At 41.5% G+C, this 13141-nt stretch overlaps 1 annotated feature.

Moving 5' to 3' along the window:
* Window positions 695-895: a silencer, noted in NCBI's record as "peak5996 fragment used in MPRA reporter construct". NCBI's record gives its function as "represses an SCP1 promoter by STARR-seq MPRAs in K562 erythroleukemia cells {active_cell/tissue: K562}" and the evidence as "EXISTENCE:reporter gene assay evidence [ECO:0000049][PMID:32103011]".

Raw genomic sequence — 13141 nt, forward strand, 5'->3', positions numbered from 1 at the left:
GGTAATAAAGGTGGAGGCCGATTATATTCAACTGTACTTAATCTCAGTGGCAGTGAAAGGGCCCTTCATTTGAATCAATTAAAAAAAACCTGCAGGGAAGAACGAGACCTTAAGGAGTCTTAAAATATCATCAGTGATAAAATATCATCAGTCAAGTGGGCTGTAGGTAATATGCTACTATCAACCCCCAGTCTATAGATGAACCAACCAAACCAAAAGAGATTAAGCAACTTGGACGGTGAAGCTAATAAAAGGGAAAGGAATATAGTGACCAAACCCAAGAAGCCCAGAGTGTTCTCGGTGCTGTATCGCTTGGGGCTTTCCTCATCTTTGTTTCTATTATTCAAGAATATAGTGTGTGTTACAAGTCAGGTATCAAATGTGTAAATAGGTATCGTGCCTGAAAGAAATATGTCCCGATGACCTGTAGGACTGGATTGTCTGAATTACAGTCCTTGCGACTGAATCCAGTTGGCGTGATGTAAGCATAAACGCACTCCACGTTTCATGAATAAGCTTAACGATAACAGAAAATACTTTCCTTCAGATTGCCTGGTGATTAAGGTAGTGGACATCTACCAAGCTCACGCTTAGGGAGGACGAACAACAGGTTTATCAACACTATACTTCACGGAGTGTCAGTCATGAGGTTTTCATGGAGAAGCCAGTTGTTTTGTTTGTTTTCTTAATGACATATTTTCATGTAGTTGGGAAGGGGTGTGCCCATTCAGAGCTTGACTATGACACCAGGAAGTAGAGCATTAGAGTGAAACCCATGAGACAATGACCTTAAGTACAGGTGGTTGCCACAGTGTCTATTATTAGGATCAGTGAAATACACTCAGAAGTCGTGTTGCAAGATGGCAGGATGGAAGGCCAGTTTCCCCTGACAAAGTGCAAAGGCATGCTATAAACACTTGCATGAACAAACAGCCTTTGCAGCAACCACAACCAGGAGGAAAATTAGAGGACATTTTCCACAACAAAAGCAGTATTGTTTTCCTGTGGTCACTCTGAAATTCATCCTTTGTTGCAGAAGACGCTGAGGCTCCATCATGGAACTGTGGCATCCCACCCAGCATTCTCCCTGTGGGCCGAAGTGATGGGATAAATTGATTCACAGCGAACTGTTCCTTCTGGCTAGGGATCCCACATCTTCAGTTCAATAGGAAAGAGTTCTCCAAAGAACAATGAGGTATAGTGGGCCAAGCCGATCAAGCAGACGTGGTACATCCAATTCTCTCTCAGGGGCTGGGACCCTGGCTGACCTAAGCCAGGACGACTACCTCTGGGCTCCCATTTCCTCATCTTCATGGTGGGGCTCCCCATGCCGGTCCTTAGTAACGATATTTTTACTATATATATGCATATAGCTCTTCCATAAGGCTTCTCCTAATTTTTATTTTTTAAGGTATGGAAGCCAAAACCTGTTTGCTAAGGGAAATGAAAAGCTTACAAGAAAACACATTTTGGTTGTGTAACAGACACGGACGATGCCAGACAACTGTCTGGGTTCATGTAAAGTCAGAGGGGGAATTACACAAACAGGGATAACAGGGAATCTCGGTAAAGCCTCCTGCCGGAGAGGCCTCCATCATCCTATGACTCCACAAATGCTCTCTCCCCACCCACTCCCGCCCCCAGTTGGGAGGTGAGTCATCTCTGCCGTTTCATCAAGGTGTGCCTAGACTGATTTTTGCCTTCTCGGTATCAAAGTACATGTGATTCAAGAACATTTGTTAATTCAACAAGGATGTGTATGAATCTCTTAAGTTCTCTGGCAGAATGGGATGGGGCATAAAAAAGTAATACTATTATAATTTAGTAAGCTCTAACAACATGCTAGACACCGAGGGTATAAAAGGTGAATAAGACCTGGACCCAGGTTTCAAGGGGCTCAAGATCTAGTGAGAAGCCTGACAGGTGAACAGATCACACAGGGTCAACACTACACTAGAAGTAGCCACAGAGTGTGCAGAAGACACAAGACATTGCCTACAATCCAAAGGCATGTTTATGCCATTTCTGCCATCTGTTTTTGGACCGGCAGAAATTCTTGAGAAAAGCATGTGGTTTTCAGAGGGTCCCCACCCTATCCCCCTTTACCTGGTCAGGTAAAAATGAAAGAAAATAATACAGGTGGAGTTCTGAGTGACACGATTTGCTGTAAGTTCAGTTAAGCTAGGAAAGCTCATTTCTAAAGAACTTCCTGTAAACAAGGTCCATGACTGTCTCCAGCTCATGATGAATAAATGAAATAATTGATCGCAACAGACACGTTGCCTCAAAGAAAGTGTCTCACACAATAATATGTCTTTTATTTTTCCTGTTCTGGGGTGTGGTTAGGTTGACTTTCCCTTGGTTAAGGGACTTTTGAGTCTGACTACAAAAGGTTAAGTGCAGTTGCAAAGTTGAAAGGACCCAGACAGGAAGTATTTGCTATTTGATAGGTAAAAAGAAAATCCCTTGATGTTACAAAATTAAAACAAAACAAAACAAATCAAAACCTGGGTGAAAACATTTTTAGCTCATGAGCTTGAATTTTAAATCTTATGATGATCTCCTCCTTTCCAATACTTTCTCATCCGCAGATATGGTATAAAATTCAATTACAATAGAAGATAGTACGTGCTGCTTTACTTGCCACCTCATTTCCAATCCAGAATACTGGATGCATTTTGTGAAACAAAGCCATAGGAATACAGAAATGTTCATTTCATTCTCCTTTTAAGCGCCAGCCATTGAGACCTTCCAACTACTTATAGATCGAGATATTGAACTCTGCAAAATGGTTTTCTTTGCTGTGATTTCTTTGCTATGTTTTCATCTGCTTAGAAGGATGAAAAACTCACCACTTTCCTTCTCTCTCAGATTTTGATAGATTAATTCAAAAACTCAATCTGAAAACGAGCTTTGAAATTTAAACCTGAACCTCTCCAGTAGAGAAAAGGTAGAGCCAGAGGAAGACAGACCTGGGAGAGGAGGAGAGACCTTCCCATTCCCAGTATTCTCCCAAGTTCAGTTCACTGGCATTCCTTTTTCTTTTTATTCAATTTTAATTTTTAATTTTTGTGGGTACATAGTAGATGCCTATATTTATGGGGTATATGAGATGTTTTGATACAGGCATGCAATGTGTAATAATCCAATCATGGAGAATGGGATATCCATCCCCTCAAGCATTTATCCTTTGTGTTACAAATAATCCAATTATACTCTTTTAGTTATTTTGAAACGTACAATTAAATTATTATTGACTATCATCACCTTCTTGTGCTACTAAATTGTAGGTCTTATTCATTGTTTCTAACTAATTTTTTTTGTACCCTTGGCACTCCTTTTTCTGAAAAAATAAATCAGTTAGAAACAGGTGATGAAATTACAGAACTGATTAAGACATAATGACCAACAGTCCTTTTCAAATTGGGGCAGAAGTAGAAGAAAGAAGGAGGTGGGAACACCTCAGGTTTGTTACTGCTGACTCTACAGTCGCTTTATTGTGTGCGCTCAAGAATAATGAGAAAGGACAGTTGGGGGAAATGTGACAAATTGGAAAATAATAAGAACTAATGCAGTACGAAGTGCTTGCTTCATACCAGCACTCTTCTAGCACTCCATACTTATTAACTCATTTACTTCTTACAATCCTGTGAGACTGGGAGGATTATTAACCACGCTTCACATGAGGAAATGAAGCACAGAGAGGTCAAGTAACCTACAAAAGACACACAGCTAGCAAGCTTATCTGGCTCCAGCGTGTGTATTTGGCAGTGTGGCTCCAGAATCTGCTTTTGGTTTTGTTTCTTAAACACTAGCCAGCATTGCCTCTTTATATTTTAGTACCTACTTCACAAGAAATTATCAAGTTGCATATGCATAGTAGCACGAAGAGGGAAATTAGCAGGGAGATTCAAGGAAGTTAAAATAGGAAGTGGCTGAGGCAAGAAGCACCACCAATTTAAGGACTCAGGGGCTGGTCACAGATTGTCCAGGGCTGCCCGTTCAGATAGTCAGGAAACAACCTCGAGGCACAGCTTCTAAGATCTTATTTCCTCCGAGCTGGAAAGCAACATGGTGTGTCCCCAGGGAGTCTCCTTTGGGAAATCAGCCATCCGCATAGGGTGGCCTGTCCTGCTCCAGGCTCCCTAAGTCACACTCCTTCAAGCTCAGGAGCTGGACGATCCCAGAGCTTGCCTGTTCCCACCCTGCCTTCAGCTTTTGCTATTGGACCATTTCTTCCAGAGCAGCACCCACATCAGAATCTGCACTGAGCCCCTCTGCTTCTCTTTCCACCTTTCTTATTTTTGCTCTCCTGGGAATACATGTCCCTCTCACTTCATGGAACAACCAACCGTCAGCTTTGGAAAGGGCCAGGGTGATGATCCAGCTAGGGGTGGGGGTTATTGAAAAGGACCATGTGCCCAACTGGGGAGGGGAGAGCACAGGAGATTCTGGTATTGCTCCAAAAGGGGTGTCTTTTTTTAATGTTTAGAGATGATATTCTGGCTCCATTCTTTCATTGGGTAGCCAGGAGGCTGCAACCTGGAGCAGGGAAATGACTTAAGAATGGGTCATACAGCTAGTAAGAGGCAGATGGTAAACTCAGACACAGATCGGCTGCCCTGGGGCTCACTGCATCTGTGCCCACCACTCACCCAAGGGCAGTGCCCTCATCCTCCATGGGCTCTTTTTCCTCCTGGACCTGCATGGAGACAGTCATCAGGGAGTGTTTCTGGCGAATTCTGCCTTCAACCTTCACTCTCTTAGACCATAAATCACCTTTTAACAGGTAAAAGATCAAAAGTTGCTGATCTCACCCTGTGCCAGATGCTTATTTCTAGCTTGCTTTTCTGTTCCACCCCCGACCTGGCTACAAATCTTCCTCCTGTAGTCTTCCTTTCATTGTCCTCTCCATTTCTCTCTGCATTGGATGTTTTGCATCTAGCTCTTGTGAGCTCTCAGGCTGCCCATGGGGATGTAGGCCGGAACTATGTTCACCGCACCTGCTTCTTCACTGCTGGCTTTTCACAGCCTGCCTTTGGAGGTCTGATCCCACACCCTACTTTCCATTGTCCAAGAGGTTAATGGGCGGGTTGTGTGCTAACGCAGTGTCCCTGCTGGTGGCCCATGAAGTCCAAGCTGGCTGCATTCTGCATCTAGCCAGCCAGCCCCTCAGTATCCACATGGAATAACTAAGCAGTTTATCTTGATGTTCTCCCCAGACTCCTCCCTCATAGGCCCAGGTAGATCTACCTTCAACTCTCCTGTTTCCTTCCCTACGGAGATGTTCAGACATAAAAGGAGCCTCCACACAGCCACCATTTCATTCAAAACAAGATGCTAATAACTACCCTTTATTCAATATTCACTATGTGACAGGAATCTTCATAGGTTCTTTGTATATGTGATCTCAAACTTCATAAGAAACCTTCGAGAGGTGATTATCATCAGCATTTTGCAGATGAGGAAGCTGAGTGGTTTTAAGCAATTTGTCCTCTCTCAGATATAAAATGCTGAAGTTGGGGCTGCAACCCAGGTCTGTTGTGGACAACACTGCCCAACCTCTTTCCACCACAGCATCCATGTCTTTGGCCTGATGTTATATTTTGTTCTAATTTCAGGCATTATCCTGGGACAGCCTTCTAGTGAATGAATGTGCCATGCTATTTCGGTATGGGGTTCTGTTTCCTCTACCTCTCAGTGGCATCTGCTCACATGTCTTGCCCTGAGTGGTACTCTGCCGTGCCCTGCCACCCTTCACACCCAGCAAGGTTCTTCTTTCCGCTGCTAGCTTGGGCCTTCCTTCTTTTGTCCTTCAGTTTGTCTAGAGGAAGTCATTAAAACTGACCCAAGACTAGGAACTTCCTTCTCTGCTCTTGCTCTCCCCTCTCTCCCCACTGAGTTTTGTTTTCTGCACTGATGGGGTTGTCTCAAGCCTTTTTCTTCCTCTTCGAGCTTGAAATTCAGGCTCTCTTCTCAGGTACTTCAGTGCAAAATCAGCTCCTGAAAGCTGTTGCTCTGGCTCATGATCAGCACCACAGTTTGCCTTTTTGCCTACTGGTTTCTATTCTGCCATCATTAAACAATATTTGCCGGACAATTCTCCTTCCAATTAAATCTCTCCTGTCCCTCCCAGGCAACTGACAACTTAGCTTGAATCTCACTGCTAGTAGTTCGTGGGACCAGGAGTGTGGGCAACGTTTTTCAGGCAGGAGCAGGGCTGAGACTTTGTCAAAAGCAACCAGGCTTGTTAAGAACAGAACACTGACCAGAATCTCAGTGTGAGACAGAGTACGGTTTTGCTTAGGGTCTAGTAGTTTATCCATTACATCAGAAGTTCCCAAACTTCTCTTCAAAAGTGGAACTGAGACGGAGTTTTACTAAAATAAGATAATAGTGATCTTCTAATTTACAGAGGGGGGAAAGAAAATAAGTAGACTTTTATCACTTTTATTTGTTTCACTAAATTTTCTAAACTTTTATGGTATCTTCTACTGTTTATCTGAAAAAAATTAATAACTTACATCAAAATATCAGAATTTACATCTTTAAATATTTGATGGACTCTTACTTTTTTGACTATTTTGCATGTATGCATATATAATTAAATGACAGTTTCTACTGGTAAAATTACTACTTCCTGCAATGGAATTCATTATATCAATATTTAATTTCATGATTTTCCCATCAGAACCATGAGACTACATTTCCTAAAGGGAATGGTGGCTGGGGGAGAGGCACCTAAGCCTTCTGCTTCCTCATTAGATCATTCAAATGCAAGATCAGCCTTGGGCAGTTTGGAGCAGAGCACCTTCCCTGGCTGCCAAGGGTATGAAGCTTCCTCTGTGTTGCAAGGGGAGTATCTACCCAGGGTGGGAGGAGACACCCTGGAGGAGCCGATGTAGGAAAAGGAACCCAGAGCTGGCTCCCTGGAGACTGTGCCACTCCTCCTGCACTGTTACCCCTTCTGCTCCAAGTTTGGATTTACCTTGTGCTTGATGCCTTCCCTACATTTTATCCCATGAGGTTTCCCCAGATGAGGATTTCATTCAGCTCCCGCTCATTGAAATGCTGGGCTGTTCTCGAAAGAGGAAGAGGTGGCATGTCGCTGTGATGGGCCAGCACTCTGGGCCCTACAGGTTGAAATCTCCTACTCACGTTCCATGACGCCAACACCTCTGGCATAAAAGTGGAGAGAGCAAATAACAGTTGCCTGGGAACACAGAGTGTTTTGATGTTTTGTGGGTAGACTTCTTTAGTGAGTTACAATGATATTGAAAATGTTCACAAAATAACCACCTTTTCTTGCAGCCAACAGTGAAAAGGCAAAGGCCTCTGGCAGATTTCAAGGCTGAGGTTTCCAGGTATGTTTTATTCATGTGCAAATCTGACCACACCTGCCATCTGTCACCAGGCAGGAAAGGAACATGATGAAGTGGTACCCAGGAATGCTTCCCATTTAGGCCTCCATTACTAGGTTCTCCCTGTCTTGCAGAAATACCCAACTTGTTTGCAAACCTACTTGATAGCAAATTGTCTCTTCTTCCGGCGGTATGAAAAATGAGAAAGGTCACCCACTGATTTCAGTAGTGAAACTTCTGCTCACGGAAGGCCAGGCGTGTGGTGTGGTGGGCAGCATGCAGACAAGCAGGAAGCCATGTGTCATAAAATTACTTGTCCTTCACGAAGCCGGAGGTGCGTGGTCACTTGCCTTGAGGGGCAGTGCACTCTCTGCCCAACTAACTCAGCAAGATCTTCCTGAAACTCTGAAGCAAGGCCTGTGATGGGTGCTGCCTCTCCTGTAGGGCTAAGAGAGCAGCTTAATTTGGCTGGAGGAAGAAGAGACCAAGGGTCTGAGAAAAGAGCATGGCCAGATCATGCTCTTGTGTGCACGAGAACTACCTAGTGTGATGCTCACAATATCCCCTTCCCCAGTTCTCACTTCATTGATAGGGGCCAAAGTCTTGGAATTTTGCAAACCAAACCCAGCAGGTTGGAATGGGCAGCCAGCACTGAGAACCACTTGCCCGGTGTCCTGATCTCTTGGACACATTGCTCAAAGCCTCACTCAGAAGCATGGTGGCCCTGTTAAGAGCAACGCAAAAGCACCTCTTGTCACTCATTTGGCGGCAGAGACCATGTCCCCAATGCCTCATGTTAAACATGTGCTCTCGGTACAGTGCAGCCTTTAAGGGAGATGAAGCCTGGATTGTGAGAAAGGCTCAACACAGCCACTCACTGGGCTGGTGCACAGAACGGGACACAAAAGACCTTCAGCTCAGAGACTCAGAGAGAAAGCTCACAGTCCCCAGGCAAGTTGCTTAACATCTCTGGTCTCATCATCCTTACTGTAAAATAGAGTGTTGGACACACAAGACAATCTCCAAACTCCTTCGAGCTTTAACAATGTGTAAGTTTATGGTTTTTCATCCCATGCGTCTGATCATTTCAATCTGTACTAACCTGTTCTTTCCACCTACAAAATAGAAATGAAATACATCAGCTCCAGAAAGACTGATGTATAAATACTTAGTTGTAAGTGCCAAAAGATTTTAAAGTTCTCTTTGTGGCTACATTTCATCTTGAATGTATAAGTTGAAGCAAATCAAGTCTGGTCAAGGCTTACATTGGAGAAAGATAATGTGAGACTCAGCCCTGCTTTGACATGCCTAAGAATGGCATGTTCTGAGGAAGGGATATGTGGCCAGGGCACATTTTGTTTCTCTTTTTGAGCCTTAAGGAAGGTATATTAATACTGATTCCTGAAAGAACCTGTTAAGCGCTTCCTGATGTAATTCACCTGAGAAATTGCTAAAGAATATGAACTTCCTATGGCAGATTTCAAGGCTGGGGTTTCCAGGTATGTTTTATTCACGTGCAAATCTGACCATACCTGCCATCGGTCACCAAGCAGGAAAGGAACATGATGAAGTGGTACCAAAAGCCCTAGGAATTTAAAATTTGCCAAAGTGCAACTGTTAGTTTTCCTTCCTGTCTATGGACATGAATTTCCTTTCTGACTAATTTCTTCGTAGAAAGAGTAATTAGCTTTATTACTAACATTACCTCTGTTACTACCTTTACGCAAATTATTAACAGCCAGCTACAGCTTAACAGTAATACTTAACAGTATTACGAGTACGTGAACTTTACCTCCCTAAAACACTCGTGATTGATAAACTGATAGATGGATAGATAGATATACACAGGTATGTATATACGTGTGGATATATATGGTTTTAAATGTGAACACACAAACACCATCATCAGCAGCAGCAGCAGCTATTCATTTTGTTGAGCACCTGTCACAATCCCTGTGCTTGTGGAGGTAGCAATTTAATGAGAGAGCAAATACAGAATATCCATCAAAAGAGGTGAATAGCCCTGTATAGCATAAACTGGCAGTTCTTAAAGTGTGGTTCAGAGACCTCTGGGGGACACTGAGACTCCCAGGGAGTCCAGTAAGGAAAAAATATTTTTATAATAATACCTAATGATATATAATTATGTTATTTGCTTTTAATTTGCATTTCTCGTGAGTGTACAGTGGACTTTTCTAGAGGTGACATGATCTGTGATATTGCATTGAATGCAGAAGCAGACCAGGAGTCCAGCTTTCTCTTATGAAGCCATAATTATTAGGCTATTTTCATTTACTAAAAGTGAAAAAAGAATGCCACTCTTCTCACTCATATTTTGGTTCTGAAATATTTTTTCATTTCAAATATGCTAACAATGTTAATATGCAATGAGCTTATTTTTTAATGAATTAATAAAAGTATAGGCCATCACCCTATTAAATTACAAGTTCTTGAAAGATCTTTGCCTACTTTACCTTTGTGTCCTAAAAACTGATAAATGAATGAATGAATGCTGAATGCCAAAATAATGATTTAGACATAAACTGTATAGGAGTCCAGAGGAAACACCTATCCTGGGGAAATTTGATGAAGAAAGTGAGATTTGAGGTGGTGCTTGAAGACAGGGGAAGGCTTCCACCAGGAAAATAAAACTAGAATGGACCCTTCCAGTGGGGAAATAACATGATCAAATGCACAGAATCAGGAATTTTTAAAGTGTACTTAAAAAAAACTCATAGAAAGATTAATGCTAAAGCTGGCATTAGTAAGATTCCTATGAGGAGGTGCAAACGAGCAGATAAAGAAATCTGGACATTTTGGTAACGTTTTCTTTGTAGACTTAATTTGAAGAAATGATCATATAAAGCCTGTTGGTTCCTGATGATGAGGAAAGAACTATTAACACTCTGTAGCTGACTTCACACTGTGAACACTTGGCACTGAAGCTGAAAACTAAGCTAGAATTCAGTAGGGAGGGGTAGTAAATGAAGGTCACTTCCTACACAGATCAAGCCAACCCCAGTTTTGTGTTAAAAGGCTAAATGTTTAGCTAGCAAATACAGAGCACACTTTCCTGAAAATAACAAGTTTAGTGTTGAGATGTTTACAGTTTTTCTAAAATTGCATTTTGATTTTGTAAAAACTTGATTAAAACAAGGTCACTAGATGTCATAAAAATGACATCTAGATTTTTTTTAAATCTCACAAAATAATTATTTGAAACAAACGTGTTAGGCATTTCAAAGTAATTTTTTCTACTAAGCGAGCACCTCTACTTTATAAGTTATATAAAGAATACTATTTTGTATGAATTATTTATATAAGAATTATATGAGAATAATATTTTCCTAAGACATACACTACAGTTTCCATCTCCACACAAAGTTTTACAGAAGTCTTCATTTTGAAGATTCAAAATATTTTAAACTGGTCAAATATTTAAAACTGTATAAATAATTCTATAGAACAGTCAAGTTTGCTTTCAGCATGTTTCTAATACATTGCTAGTTGGCCAAAAACAAAGCAAAAAACAGAAAGCAGAAAAGGCTAACAAACTCCGTGGAGTAGATTTGAAAGTTAAAGAGGCAGAGCCATGATCTCAATTTGAGAAAGGAGGAGGTAGGATGAACATACCACTCCTAGTGGCAGCCATTATCCAAGCAACTAATCTTGCTAATCTGTCTAGTATGTTCTATTTGTTTTGTGTTTGTTTTGATAAAGTAACAACAACAAGAAATGAGGATGGAGTTGTTTAGGTGAAATATGAAGCCTTATGGAAATAGATGCAGATTTGCTACCAGTAGCTGAATAATAGAATTGTGAACTTGTGAATTTTCTTTAGCATATTTTATACATAGAAAATAGTCATTACATATTTAACAATTAAGGAAAACATTTCCTGCATAGCATCATACGTTATAGACATTTTCTTATAAACAACTAATCAAAACACTATTTTGTTAGAGGCCCTGAATCCATAAAGAAAAATAAGCTTATAAAGTCTTTTGTCCTATAATCCCCTCAATGTAATGGAATCTTTTCTCTAAGTTTTCATGGAGTGCTTCTTTTTAATTTTAAGTAACCATACATATTTTATAAGCAAACATATGCTATTTTTCCAAATCAAAAGACTTTGCAAGTTTTTCCTAGATTAAAACAACAACTCTGCCTCTCTGCACTGGCATCCATCTGTGTTGGTATGTGTTGTACACACACGTGCACACACACACACACACACACACACACCATGACACACAGGCAGCAGAGGGAGGCTGGAAAGATCTGTGGAAGGAGAATCAGAAACCTCAGGAACCTGTTATGATTCTGTTTACCTAATTGTGAGACATGAGCAAAGTCACTTAAATTTTCCTGAACCCCAATTTTCTTTTTCATAAATTGTTTATAATAATAACATCTCTGCCTGCCTCAGCAGATCAGGGCGATACTCTAAAAAGATGACATATAGGAAAATACTTTGTATGAAGACATGATTTTCACAAATATTTAAGTACATTTCTTATGCTGTAAAGGCTCAGTTTCAATAACAGCTATCTTTGTTAAGCAAAAGTTGAGTTATGAAACTAAAAGTACAACTTTCCAAATGATGTGGGATTTCCTGTTCTGTGTTTTACAGGGCCTTGTCCCAGATGGGCAACTATTTATTACCATATGACCAAGCCAAGCTTTGATTACAGTTATTAGGGCATGAAAATATTGGCTAAGCCAAGGTCCCTGTTGTGAAAGATAAGGAGCATGAAAATCTAAGAAGTCATGGGCATGATCCTTCACTCATGGGTTCTAATAGTTAAGAAGGCTGAGGGTAATTTAAAAAAAAATGAATAGAGCTAAAAATAGGAGGTTAAATATTACCTTATTGATGAACGTACCAACTAGACTTCCCTGCTGATATTAGGAGGTCATGCTGAGGCCTGGACTTTGATGCAATCGCAGGGCTGACCCAAGGCATGAGAGAAGGAAAGCAGGTTCTCCTCCCTGGGGCACCACCCGTTTGTGCTGTTGGGCTCAATTTCAGGTGCCTGCCTGCCCCACTGCCCTGGCCCAATACCTGTGTGATGCCCAAGGCCTGAGATGGAACCTCCCTCTAGAACCTTGCCCCTCTCGATGCTTTCAGACTTACCTTCACTCTCAAAGGGTTTCTCATGTCTGTGAAATTGCTACTTCTGGAGGCAGGCTTCCTGTGCTTCCTGTAGGTGACAGTCAATTGATCAATTGAATCCAAGGGTCTCACACTGAAATGACCACCAGGGCCAGGCAGAAAAAGTAAACAGTAAAATGGGCCAGGTGGGTTCTGTCACCATGGAGAGTGCCTGAACCATTGCATGGGAACAACGACCTCTGAGCTTCAGCTAGGTGTGACCTTATAGAAATAGAGATCCCAGTGTGGCTAGAAATTTTCATGAAAAACTGGAAATCTAAATTTTTATTTAAGATCTTGACTTTACATGTGTTGCCAACTAAATCAAAGTTATGTTCTTAGTTTTTAAATATGAGTTTGTTTTAAACTGGAAGTAGACAAAATAAAACATATCAACAGGTCATATTCAGCCAACAGGCAGCCACATTTTCTCCTCTTATTTAATGGGTGCAAAAGGGAGAAATGCTAAAGGAGGACAGAGTCCTCCTTGCCCCACCAGTTAACACATATGCCTTATAGGAACAGCCTGTTGGTGCCCCATTTTTCTTTGTTGTAAATCAAAAGGATCCAAGGATCCAAGAGTCTCACGCTGAAATGACTACACACTGCCTGACCCCTGCAGTCA

This window comes from Homo sapiens, chromosome 6, assembly GCF_000001405.40.
Source record: "Homo sapiens chromosome 6, GRCh38.p14 Primary Assembly".
Classification (NCBI taxonomy): domain Eukaryota; kingdom Metazoa; phylum Chordata; class Mammalia; order Primates; family Hominidae; genus Homo; species Homo sapiens.